General features: G+C 55.3%; 1 protein-coding gene across 2 annotated transcripts in view, besides 3 other annotated features; it reads right to left on the reverse strand.

Moving 5' to 3' along the window:
• COL5A3 (collagen type V alpha 3 chain) overlaps nt 1–10770 on the reverse strand; it is a 50944-nt gene extending 40174 nt beyond the window's left edge. The window contains exons 1-8 of one of the 2 annotated variants that reach the window (XM_011528042.3): nt 10564–10770; nt 6339–6497; nt 6062–6248; nt 5824–5980; nt 4307–4411; nt 3831–3980; nt 2034–2147; nt 1790–1936 (exon numbers count right to left, since the gene is read on the reverse strand). In XM_011528042.3, the coding sequence (XP_011526344.1) occupies nt 1790–1936; nt 2034–2147; nt 3831–3980; nt 4307–4411; nt 5824–5980; nt 6062–6248; nt 6339–6497; nt 10564–10651 (1107 nt within the window). In that variant the 5' untranslated portion in view covers nt 10652–10770. Of the gene's footprint in view, nt 1–1789; nt 1937–2033; nt 2148–3830; nt 3981–4306; nt 4412–5823; nt 5981–6061; nt 6252–6338; nt 6498–10563 lie in introns of both variants that reach the window. The other variant, NM_015719.4, reaches the window with a different exon arrangement.
• Nucleotides 479–773: a silencer, noted in NCBI's record as "tiled region #3549; K562 Repressive DNase unmatched - State 12:CtcfO". NCBI's record gives its function as "represses a minimal TATA promoter and a strong SV40 promoter by Sharpr-MPRA in K562 cells {active_cell/tissue: K562}" and the evidence as "EXISTENCE:reporter gene assay evidence [ECO:0000049][PMID:27701403]".
• Nucleotides 1763–2264: an enhancer, noted in NCBI's record as "H3K4me1 hESC enhancer chr19:10112173-10112674 (GRCh37/hg19 assembly coordinates)". NCBI's record gives its function as "activates a minimal SCP1, AML or CMV promoter by ChIP-STARR-seq in naive and primed H9 embryonic stem cells {active_cell/tissue: H9 hESC(naive and primed)}" and the evidence as "EXISTENCE:reporter gene assay evidence [ECO:0000049][PMID:30033119]".
• Nucleotides 2265–2764: an enhancer, noted in NCBI's record as "H3K4me1 hESC enhancer chr19:10112675-10113174 (GRCh37/hg19 assembly coordinates)". NCBI's record gives its function as "activates a minimal SCP1, AML or CMV promoter by ChIP-STARR-seq in primed H9 embryonic stem cells {active_cell/tissue: H9 hESC(primed)}" and the evidence as "EXISTENCE:reporter gene assay evidence [ECO:0000049][PMID:30033119]".

Here is a 12593-nt window from a genome sequence, read left to right on the forward strand (position 1 = left end):
GGATTACAGGCGTGAGCCACCGCGCCTGGCCCAAGCCTCTTTTCTTTTCTCTAGAGAAAGGTCTTGCTCTGCCACCCGGGCTGCAGTGCAGTGGTGTGATCATGGCTTCCTGAAGCCTCCACCTCCTGGGCTCAAGCGATCCTCCTGCTTCAGCTGGGACCAGAGGCACGAACCACCACGTTCGATTAATTTTTTGTATATTTTGTAAAGATAGGGTCTCGCTATGTTACCCAGGCTTGTCCCAAACTCTTGGGCTCAGGTGATCTTCCCGCCTCAACCTACCAAATTGCTGAGATTATAGGTGTGAGCCACCATACCTGGCCTCAGTTACCTCTTGATCTCTACCCTCTTCTCTTCTCCCTGCCCTTAACATAAAAAAAAAGCCTAAAATTTGTACTGACTTAAGATGGTGCTTCGGAACAACAGTCCACCATCTTCTTGGTTTGCTGTCTCTTGGAATAAACCTGCTTTTCCTTCCACCAATTCTCGTCTCTCTTGTTTTCCTTTCAAACATCAAGCCACCGAGCTTGGGTTCGGTTACATCGAATGCGTATCCATCTTTCTCCAAGACCAAAATGGAGCATGTCCCAAAGTGGTCCACTTCTCTGCGTCCCTCCCATCTTCCTCCAGGTCACGTCCCGACTGCAGATTGCGGGCTTCCCTGCTGCCCCTCTGGCTCCCCCTACTGTCCATGTGCCATTCAGCAGCCAGAGAGCTCTTTTTTTTTTTTTTTTTTTTTTTTTTTTTTAAGAGATGGGTCTCACTGTTGCCCAGGCTGGCCTCAAACTCCTGGCCTCAAGCGATCCTCCCGCCTCAGCCGCCCAAAGCATTGGGATTACAGCCGTGAGCCACTGCCCCCGGCCCAGGGGGAGCTTTTAAAGCTCCAAGTCAGATCATGTTCCTTCACAAGTGCTCAAGTGGCATCTCCTGGTGCTTGGAGTAAAAGCCAAGCGCCTCTCTCTAGTCACAGAGTCAACTATTAGCACAGTGCCTGACACAAGCAGGTGCAGAAGTCAAAAGAGAGACTGGCCTTTCGTGGCTCCAGGTAGAAATCCCTTCTAAGACCTCAAGATGTGAGAAAAGTAAGTAAATAAAATAACACAGGAACAGAAGACCATATACCACATGTTCTCACTTATAAGTGGGAGCTAAATGAGAACACATGGACACATAGAGGGGAACAACAGACACTGGGACCTATCGGAGGGTGGAGGGTGGGAGGAGGGAGAGGATCAGGAAAAATAACTAATGGGTACTAGGCTTAATACCTGAGTAATGAAATAAATAATCTGTACAACAAAACCCCATGACACAAGCTTACCTATGTAACAAGCCTGCACTTGTACCCCTGAACTTAAGATAAAAGTTTTTTTAAAAAAAGAAAAAATTAAATTAAATAATTTTTTTAAATTGTTCGGTTTTTTTTTTCAAGATGGAGTCTCACTTTGTTGCCCAGGCTGGAGTGCAGTGGCACGATCTTGGCTCATTGCAGCCTCTGCCTCCCGGGTTCAAGCAATTCTCCTGCCTCAGCCTTCCCAGTGGCTGGGATCACAGGCGCGCGCCACCGCTCCCAGCTAATTTTTTGTATTTTTAGTAGACATGGGATTTCACCACGTTGGTCAGGCTAGTCTCAATCTCCTGACCTCAAATGATCTGCCCACCTAGGTCTCCCAAAGTGTTCGGATTACAGGCGGGAGCCACTGCGCCCTGCCTAAATAAATAAATTTTAAAAAAATTTTAATAGGAATCCCACTCTCTTGCACCTAACCCCAGCCACCTAGAAACTCACAGGAAAGATCTGGAACTGAGTCCGAGATGGATATTCTGCTGCCCGGAAGTCAGGGCCCATGGTGGAATCATCTCCTTCTTCATCCTCCCTGGCTGCCTTGGTCTCCAGGGTCCCCAGCTCGGTTCCACTGTCAGGGTCCAAGCTCCTCTGAGAACGTTAGGAAAGACCAAAGTTTTCCCTGACCTCCTTATTTTCTGCCACCCCCGTAACCCTTGGGGTCTCCCCTCTTCCATCCCCATCCAACCTCTAGGATCGTGGCATTGAGTCCAGTAGTCACAGTGGAGGTGACGACCAAAGGCGTGGGGGTCGGAGGCAGATTTGGAGCTGGAGTCTCTGTCTTGGGGATGTCAGTGGAGGTCTGGAGCAGGGATGGAGGGAGCCTTGGGTCTCGGGTGAGGGCAATCAAGACAAAAGGGAGGCACCCTCCCACTGTCCCCAGGAGCTCCCAGTCCGGGGACAGGGACAGAGGAGGCTCCCCAAAGAGCACCAGAGGCCAATGGAGACAAAAGTGTGCCAGCTGGACCAGGGCTGCCAGCAGAGGGAGCCACCGTGGATGGAGGAGGTGCTGAGTCAGGCTGGCCCTGAAGCCCAGTGGTCAAGGTCAAGGTCCAACATTCAGGGCCAGGCTCCCGGAAGCCTAGCCCACATGTCCTCTCCCAAGGCAGAGTTCAGCGGCCAGCAGGCCACAGTCAGAGAGGGAGTGGCGGCTCCTTCTGGCCTGGACAGCTGCAGAGGAACTGGGTCAAGGTGGGGGTTGGGGGGGTGTGGGAAGAGGGTGGTGGGGTCCCAGGTGAGGGGACAAGGCTGAGGAAGGGGCTGAAGAGGGGCCCACTACTCCTGGTGTTTGTATTCTTGGCCAAGAAGATCTGGAACTGAGATGTAGTGCAACCAGTGACTCCCCCACCAGCCAAAGACCCCAAGCAATGACCCCCACCAAGGACCCCCCAACCCAGTGACCCACCAAGAATGACCTACATCAACAGACCCCAGTGATTCTAGAACCAGAGACCCACAAACAACCCCTCCCACTCCCATCAATGGCCTCAACCTGTTACTGCTCCATTCAGTGATTTTCCTAACCAGTGACCTCAACCAGTGACATCTCTTGGCTATTAGCACTAACTAGTGACTCTCCAACTAATAACCCCCATCGGTGACCCCTAATCAATTATTCCTCTAACCAGTGATGCTCCAACAGTGAATACCCATAAATGAGCGCAACAAAAGCGTCCTAACCAATGACCCCCAAATAGTAATTCCACCCATCAATGACTTCCTAACTAATAATTCCCTCAGGGACTCCCAAACCAATTACCCCATCTGCGACCCCCTGAAAATCACTCTTCCAACTTGTGGCCCCAATGAGTGACCCCACTATGACTTCCAGTCAGTGACCACCCACCAACAACCCCCCAGTCATTGACCCCAAACTAGGGACATCAGTAACACCAATAATGGTTTCTATCCATGACCTTCCACTGTGATCCCCAGCTAGGTGCAGCCCAAACACTGACCTCAATTAATATCTCCCTCAATGATTCCCCACTATCCAGCAATCCCTATCAGGGAAGCCAAATAATGCCCCCAATTAATGACTCTCCCAATGAATAACTGTCCCCAGTGACCCCAAGCAGGGAACCCCAAACAATGACACACTAACTAATGAACACGTCATTCAACCCAGCCAATGATCCCCCCTTAAACAGTAGCCCTCATCAAGAACTCCCTTAAAATCAGGAACTTATCTGGGTCTGTCCCCTCCCTCTAGTGCCCCAGGACTGGAGATTGAGGGGGTCAGAGATGGGAGAGATCATAAGATGGGACCCACCCCCACCCTGTTATCAGTCACCCTGACAGTCATCAGTCAGCTGAGAGAAGTCAGAGCTCATGGATCCGAGACCAGAGAAAAAGATCATAGATGAGGGACCAGAGATTAGTAGAGATGGGAGACTAGAAGTCAAGCACCAAGACCAGAAGTCAGACAGTCAAGACCGGAAGTCAGGTGGTCAAAACCGGAAGTGAGAGGTCTCAGGGCCCTTACCTGGTTCTCTGCGGAGTCAGGAGGTGGACTTGAGGTCCAAATTTCCTTGTTCTTTTTCCTGCCCTTCCCCTTGCGACCTCGCCCTTTCTTCCTCCCTTTTCCCTTCCCCTTCCGCCGAGGACGAGGGGTTTCTGGTTCACCCTGGGGAGCCTGGGAGAAGGGTTCCAGTCAGGTCTAGAGCATCCCACCAGCAGAGACCCCATCATTCAGGTCACCTGGGGTGAGGCTGGCTCATGGCCCGTGGGTCCTCACTCAGCCCTGTGACCTGGAGTCAACGTTATTCATGTAACCTGGGGTCAAGGGTGGCTCAGGAATATGACTTGAGGTCAAAGTCATTCATGCCTGGGATGTGTTGGAGGTCACGGGTCACTTAACCCCATGTCTGGGGGATGAGAATTCACTCTTTCTAGGGATCTGGAGCCAGGAAGGACCCAGCCTGTGTCCTGAGATTAGGAGTCATGGAGTCCCTCACTCACCACTGTGGCTGCCGGTGCCAGGTTGTCACAGTCGGGGAGGTACCGCTCACAAGCCTGGAAGGCAGCCTGAGGATCTGGGCTTATCAGCAGCTCCTGAATGTCTCCCTGGGGGTTGGGGGTGTAGGAGTCAAGGAGGGCAGCCATACAGCCATAGGCTTACTCTGACCCCCTAACCCCCAGCAGTCCTGCCCACCTCCTGGCACCAGGGTGCAATGCTCCCCCACCCAGAGCATGCTAAGTATAAGGAAGAGATGACCCCATCACAGCCCTAGTGATCTCTCTACCCCCTGTAACTAAGAGAAGGAAAGATCCTATCAGGGGCACACCCGATCCCAACCACAAGCCACATCCCACACATCTGCCCCACTAGAGGTGCATCAGTTCCTTCACCGGTTCAAGTGATTCTCAGCCTCCCAAGTAGCTGAGATTACAGGCGTGTGCCACCACGCCCAGTTAATTTTTGAATTTTTAGTAAAGACAAGGTTTTGCCATGTTGGCCAGGCTGGTCCCGAACTCCTGGCCTCAAGTGATCCACCCGCCTTGGCCTCCCAAAGTGCTGGGATTACAGGTATGAGCCACCGCGCCCGGCCAAGACCATAAATTGTGACGATGCCTACTTGGCTTGTTGTGGGAAGAGCTGGTACTGGGGATAAGGAGGAACATGAGATAGATCAGGTCCCTGGCCTCCCAGAGGTGACACACATCACGGTCACACACAGCTAACAAAGGTCTCCACACCCAGAACACATATCACACAACCACACAACACAGCTGCCTGCTGGCTCCCAAAGTCATAACCGCCCCCACACAATCACACACTATCACAGCAACCAGCACCATCTCAGGTCACAGTCTCAGACACACGACACCACCAGATCTTTCCACAACAAGCCAAGTAGGCGCTGTCACAATTTATGGTCTTGTGGCTCTGCAATCTCACAGTCATGCACTGCAACGGCACACACAAGCATGCACTGGCACAACTGGATCTTCCCACAACAAGCCAAGTAGGCATCGTCACAATTTATGGTCTTGGCCAGGCGCGGTGGCTCATACCTGTAATCCCAGCACTTTGGGAGGCCAAGGCGGGTGGATCACTTGAGGCCAGGAGTTCAGGACCAGCTTGGCCAACGTGTCAAAACCTTGTCTCTACTAAAAATTCAAAAATTAGCTGGGCGTGGTGGCACACACCTGTAATCTCAGCTACTTGGGAGGCTGAGAATCGCTTGAACCCATGAGGTGGAGGTTGCAGTGAGCTGAGATCAAGCCACTGCACTCCAGCCTGGGTGACAGAGCAAGGCTCCATCTCAAAAAAAAAAAAAAATTATTGTCTTGTGGCTCTGCAATCTCACAATCACAGGCTGCAACGGTGCACGAAAGCATGAACTCGCTTCCCTTAGCTTCCTGGGGATAGATTGAAGCTTGACATCTTCCTTCTTTAATATCCTCTCCAGATTCAGGCTGTAGACAAAACATCCCACCCTCTGCCTCAGTTTCCCCCATCACTGAACTCCTACCTCGAAAGTCTTTTCCCCAAGGTCCTGGGTCCCCAGCACAGTGAGTCCAGCTATGCTGATGAAGCGGGGGCCATGGCCCAAAACAGGGGGCTGAGCTTCACAGTCAGCTACCAGGGTCACCATCTCACCATCTATGCTGACGGCCACACGGTGCCACCTGCAAGGGGACGGCCTCAGTGCGGGTGCTTCTCACCCCACCCCTTATCCACGGACCCCCGCCCACTCTCCCCATGCTCACCTGCCATCTGTGAGGTTGACCTGCTGGGGGAGGGGGCGGAAGGGGTCACCTAGGAGACCCAGCGCTGGCCCCAGTGCCAGGCCCAACTGCCGGGCACCCCTTTCATCATAAATGGACAGCAGGACAGACTGATTGGCTGGCTGTCCCCGCAAGGTGATCAGCAAGGAGAAGTTCTCAGGAAAGTGGCCTTCTGGGTGGGCAGAGGGAACAAGGCAGCTCAGAGGGCCCAGCAGTGCCTCCCTCCGGGGAGGTACCCAGGCCTCCTACTCCAACTCACCTGGAAAGAGTTCCCACGTGGGGATGCCGAGCGTGCTGGCCTGGCCAATTCTGAATGCCCGGTCACCCTCTGGAGTCCTCTGGGGACAGAAGCCAGGCCCCTCGGGGACCCCAGCCTGGCCTCCCTGCACACCCAGGGCCTTCAGGACATCCACAGGATCTGCAGCAGAGAGAAGCCGGGGGTGTCAGGCAGAGGTGGGGAACAGCTAGAATAAGCCCAGGACTCCAGGATAGAGGCTCAGGGTTTTTTTAGGGGGCTCAGCCTCTCCCTCCCTCCCACCATGTTTGTGGCTCAGGAAGAAGGAGCCGGCCTGGGCCCCCAGCACCCCCCGCCTCCTCACCACCCCACAGATGTTCCGACCTCAGCAGCTTGTTGACTCTGTTTTTTTTTTTCCCCTTGGTTTTTGGTGAGAAAAAAAGTTGACCTAGTTCTGGGATGAATCAAAACTTCCTGGCCTAAGCCCCAGAGTGGAACGGTCCCCCTCTCCCTGCTCTCCCGCGCAGGCTCCCTAGGGCTATATCCCAGGCCTGGAGCCCCCTTGCCAGGGGAAACCCACGTGGAGAGGAGGGGCTTCCAGTGTGTTTTCTTCCCCCACCTCCTCCCTCTCTCTAACCTCCTCCTTTGACCACCATCACCCACAACCTCTTCCTTTTGACTACAGCCATTTTGGATCTCCTCCCTCTGACCATCTGCCTCTGACCATGCCCACTAACTTCTTTTTCTGGTTACCCCCTCTGACCTTCTGATCTTCTTCTGCCTGACCCCAGCCTATTCCCTCTGATCTCCTTTTTCTGTCTGATCCCAAACTCCTCCTTCTGAATTTCCCCTTTGACCTCTTCCCTCTGACTTTCACCTCTAACCTCTTCCCTCTGACCCTCCTCTATGAACTTCCTCTCTCAGACTTTGCCCTCTGACCTCCTCCCTCTGAATGTCTCCTCTGATCTCCTCTCCTGACTTTCCCCTCTGACCTCCTCCCTCTGACTTTCCCCTTTGACCTCTTCCTTCTGACTTTCCCCTCTAACCTCCTCCCTCTGACTCTCCCCTATGACCTCCTCCCTCTGAGCCTCCCCTCTGATCTCTCCTCTGACTTTCCCCTCTGACCTCCTCCCTCTGACATTCCCCTCTGACCTCCTCCCTCTGACATTCCCTTCTGATCAACTCCCTCTGACCTCCTCCCTCTGACTACCCCCTGACCTTCTCCCACTGCCTATCCTGATCTCCTCCATCTGACCCATGACCTCCTCATTTCATCTCTCTGACTTCCTCCTTCTGACCAGCTGTCTCCGATAACCTCCAGACCTCCCCTGTCTGACCCTCTCCCTCTTTCATCCCAGCTAAGGAAAGGACTTGTCTGGCCCAACAGTTCCTAATCTAGGCCATGCTACCAGCCCCACCCCAGCAGGCAGCCCAGCCAGTGCTAAGTGGAACCACATGGCTTGGGCAGGGGCGGGTGGGGGCTTCCCCTGGGCCCCGAGCCCCTGTCTGATTCCCCCATCCCCCAACCCTCAGCAAACTGTCCCACTGACCCCCTGCCCCAGCCTCTTGGCGGGAGCTGGATTCTCCAGAATCTGCCATGACCTCACCCCTGGGGGCGGCTCTGCTGATCTCACCACGGGGAGCTGGGGCGGGGGGGCTAAGACGTTGGGGAGGCACGGGCTTGGATGAAGGACCCCCATTCCCACTCTTCCTAGGTCAGAACCCTCATTTTCCAGACTCCTCGGAGGCCTGTTTCAGCCTCTGTTTCCTCTTGCCTCCAATCTCCTTCTCTCCCCATCCCTGCCCGCCCTCTCTCTGTCCCACTTTCTGTGCCGGGTCTTTCCAGGCCTCCATCTGTGTCCAAGTCTCTTTCTCTCTCTCTCTCTCTTTCTCTCATTCTCTCTCTCTCTTCTCAATCTCTCTCTCTCTCCACCCGCCTTCCCCAACCCATCACCCCAGCCCCCATCTCTAATTGCCTGTTTTGTGGCTAGGCTGTCATTAAGAGAAATCTGGGTTGCAGTCCCCTGGGGCTGAGATCTGGGCTCCCAGGCTCTGCTGACCACAAGAGTCACTTCCCCACGGAACAATCATCCCAGCTGCCCCATCTCAGCCTGGGGCCCAGGGCAGGATTGAGACCGACGACCTCACCCAGCCTGGAGGCTCTCCCCTGACCCGCACCCTAACCTCTCTGCAGAGGAAAGAGGGTCTTCCCTCAACTACCACTCATTTACATTAAGAAAGTCCTTCCCGGCATCCAACTCAAAGCTCTCCTGCTTGAAACTTGTGTCCCCTCTGGAATGACCTTTCAGAAACTGACTGCCCTTTCTTTTCACAGCTGGCATTATGACAAAAAGGCACACAAGCTGCATTGAGTCCTGCCTACAGGGGACAAGGGGTGGGGGGGTCTGTCAGGGGCCCAGCCTGCCCCCTGCCACTCTCCCCTGTGCTGGTCAGGGCCCCCACGGGGATGTTGGGTGGGGTCTGGGATGTGGAGGGACAGAGGCGGGGACTGAGTCAGGGCATGGCTGGGAACCCCCCAGGTGTGCGATGTGTGTGCAAATACGTGTATGTGCATGAGATTGTACAAGCGTGGGTGAGTCTGAGTGAGACAGGCAGAGAATAGCTGGGCATATGTCGTTTCTCCAGGTGTCAATGTGTGCAAATATTTGGCTTCTAATGGAGGGATTAGATACACTTGCTTGACGTGTGGCCATGCAACGCTTGCCGTGAGCTTGCAGGTGTGTCTGTGACTTTAACACCTCGGACTTCTGATGGGGGAGTGCCGTTCTGTGTGAGAGTGTGACCCAGTGGGTGAGTGGGTGATGGGTTGTGAATGTTGACAGTGTTTGTTCGGATGTCAGGGGCAGCATGTGTGAGAATTTGAGCACGTGGGAGGGTCATAAAAGCTGGGACCATTTGGCGGGTGGCTGAAGGGGGTTGCCTGGACACGGTGTTTCACATTCCTGGAGTCCCAGGGGACTTATATTCAGAGTGGATGCCTAAGATTCCATGACCATGTGGATGTGTGAGCGTGGGAATGCGGCATAGTCCAATCAGGGATTAACCATATGGACAGGCACCTTCCTGGACTCCAAAGTAAGAAGTGTGCTGTGGTGTGTGTGTGTGTGTGTGTGTGTGTGTGTGTGTGTGTGTGTGTTGGGAGACTGAGCTCACCTTAGAAAGGGATTTCCAGGAGGACCTAGTCTAGGGTCTCTCAGATCAGGGAAGCCCCATCTCCAACACTTGAGAAGCTACGCCATCCCCTGACTCCCGAAGCGCCCCCCACTCTGAACCCTGAGGGGCGGGACAGGGCGCCCAGCCAGATGCGCGCAGCTGGGCGTGCGTCAGCGCTGACTCACCCATCCGGCGGCCCCCGGGACCCCTTGGGGGCTCCTGAGAAATTCCTCGGGAAAAACACCCAAGGCTCCAGCAGCTGGGGTGGGGAGGGGGGGAGCAACTTCCACTCCTGCCCCGCCCTGCGCCCCGCCCCGTCTCGCCCCTCACCGCGGCCCTCCCCGAAGCCCTGTCCATGGTGCTGATCGCGGCTCTGGGGACCGCGGGGTGGGGGAGGGGGCAACAGGGAGGGAGGGGAGGAGATGGGCGCTCGCCAATTTGGGGCAGAGGAGGAAAAGGGAGAATGAGGTGAAGCCATTTAAAGAGACGCAAAGGAAACTGTGGGTTCCCGAAGAGCACCCCCCAATACTTGTCCCCACCCACCTTCATCCTCATGGGCAATTATTTGCACCCAAAAATCATAACTACACCCCTCATAGCGGCACTCAGAGACACACAATCACACGCATAACCACTCACACGGTTACCCTCGAAAATCAGCACATAGACAAGAGCACAAGTGCATACTCACCTGTCGCAATACACACCGTCCCAGCACTGCCCTGTCACTCACAGTCACACTATCACCATCAACCTCCACACGCAAGCACATACGCAACTTCACTCCAAATGCACACACATGCTACACACACATACACACATGCACACACCTGCACATTGCATGCATTCCCACGCGCTCGCCAGAAAACGCACTCACACATCCCCACCCCCACCCCGAGCTGTCACACCCACAAATCACCCAGAGTCAGATACTCATGCGCCCACATCACACCGGGGCCGCACGCGGCGCCCACGCCCTTCCCCTCCACGCCCCTCCACCCCCCTCCACCCCTCGCTCTTTTAGAGCCTCTCTGAGTCGTGGACCCTGGGTCCCATCTCTTCCCTCCCGGCTCACCGGCCTGCGTCCCCGGCAGAAGCTGCAGCGCGGCCAGGAGCAGGCAGAGACCGGCCCGCGGCTGGCCCAGGTCCCGGCGGTTCCCCATCCCGGCGGGGCCCACGGGCAAGGCGGGGAACCAGTCGGGGCGGCTGCGGGGCGCGGCGACTTCTCGGGCTCGGTGCAGTCACTCGCGGCGGCCGCTCCTCTCAGGGTCCGCGGGAAACTGCCCGAGACCCCGCCCTGGCCTCGCCCTGCGCTCCAGCGCCTGGCCAGGCGGGGCTTTTTGGAGGGGGAGCGCTGACAGCTGGACTGGGAAGTTGGGAAACTTTGTGCTGAGGGCTGATTGGCTGGCTGGGGTGGAGCCCAGCGCCAGGAGCTGGGTTGTTCCTGCCCCACCCCACTGTGGAGGAGAAGGGTCACTCCCACCCAGCCCTAGAGTTCGAGGGTTCCAGTCTTACCCCAAACCTTTTCCGCCTAGCAGATCCCCTCAAAGGAGACCTTAACCTCATTCAAGACTTCAGCCTCCATCCAGGCCCTAGAATTAGGAGGAGGTGCAGCTTTATACCAAATCTTTTTTATTTTCTATTATTTTTACATTTTATTTTGGAGACAGGGTCTTGATCTGTCACCCAAGCTGGAGTGCAGTGGTGCAATCATAGCTCACTGCAGCCTCCAACTCCTGCGTTCAAGCCATCCACCTGCCTCAGCCTCCTGAGAAGCAGGTACCACAGGCACACACTGCCACACCCAGCTAATTTTAAAATATGTATATTTTGTAGAGACCGGGATCTTGCTATGCTGCCCAGGCCGGTCTTGAACTTCTGGTCTCAAGCGATCCTCCGGCCTTGCCCTCCCAAAGCGCTGGAGTTACAGGCATGAGCCACCGCCCCTGGCACCAAGTCCTTTCTGCCTCACTCAGGCCCCCAACTGGGGTCCCAACCTCACCCCGAACTCTCACTCACCTACCTGCTTTATCCTCAGTCCCTCAGCTGCACAATAGGAGGTACCAGCCTCAGCCCCAAAGCCTTTCCTTCAAGTCCCTAACGGGTCCTCATCCCACCTCAAATCTCACCCCAGATCCCAAAATGGGGTCCCCAGCCTTACTCCAAACCTTCATCTGTCCACTCAAATCCCTAAGTCACGTGTCCTGGTCCCAAATTCTCACCACAGATCCCAAAACACAGTTTTCACTTTCCCCAAATTCTTGATTCCTCAAATAAAGGGTCTCATCTCCATCCCTAACCCTCATCTCCCCCCGCCCCAACTCAGGTCTCCAGTGGATGCCCCGGCCTCAATCCCAAATCCCCACCAAATGAGGGAGTCTGAGCTGGGTGCGGTGGCTCATGCCTGTAATCCCAGCATTTTGAGAGGCTGGGGCGGGCAGATCGCTTGAGTCCAGGAGTTAGAGATCAGCTGGCCAACATGGCGAAACCCCATCTCTACTAAAAATACAAAAATTAGCCAGGCATTGTGACTGGCGCCTGTAGTCCCAGCTACTTGGGAGGCTGAGGTGGGAGGATCACTTGAACACGGGAGGTGGAGGTTGCAGTGAGCTGAGGTTGTGCCACTGCGATCCAGCCTGGACAACAGAGCAAGACTCTGTCTGTCTCAAAAAAAAAGGCCGGCGCGTTGGTGGGAGGTGGTGGGAATCTGTCCCTGTCGCAAAGCAACGCACAGCCACTGGGGAGGAAGGGGTGGATTCTTGCCATTCTTGGGATGAGGCAGAGGCCCCCCTCACCGTGCTGGGACCCCCACCTCCAGCATGAAGAGGCCCCCATGAGGTCAAATAGAGCTTTTATGCAATTGGACAAGCGCAGACACGCAGGATGTGAGGGTGTTTCCCCAGGGAGGGGAGGAACCAAGAGGCGTATTCTGAGCCCTGAACTGCTCCCCGAACCCTGCTTCCCCCACCTCCGCCCCAGGGGAAGAGGGAGACGCAAGCAGTGCCTCCCTCCCAGCCTCTGACTCCCCAGACAAAGAGTCTCTGTGTCCCTGAAGAGGAGGGGTTGGGGCCCCATCAAGCCTGAGGGGGAGATGGGGGCCCCCCA

Source organism: Homo sapiens, chromosome 19 (assembly GCF_000001405.40).
Source record: "Homo sapiens chromosome 19, GRCh38.p14 Primary Assembly".
NCBI lineage: Eukaryota > Metazoa > Chordata > Mammalia > Primates > Hominidae > Homo > Homo sapiens.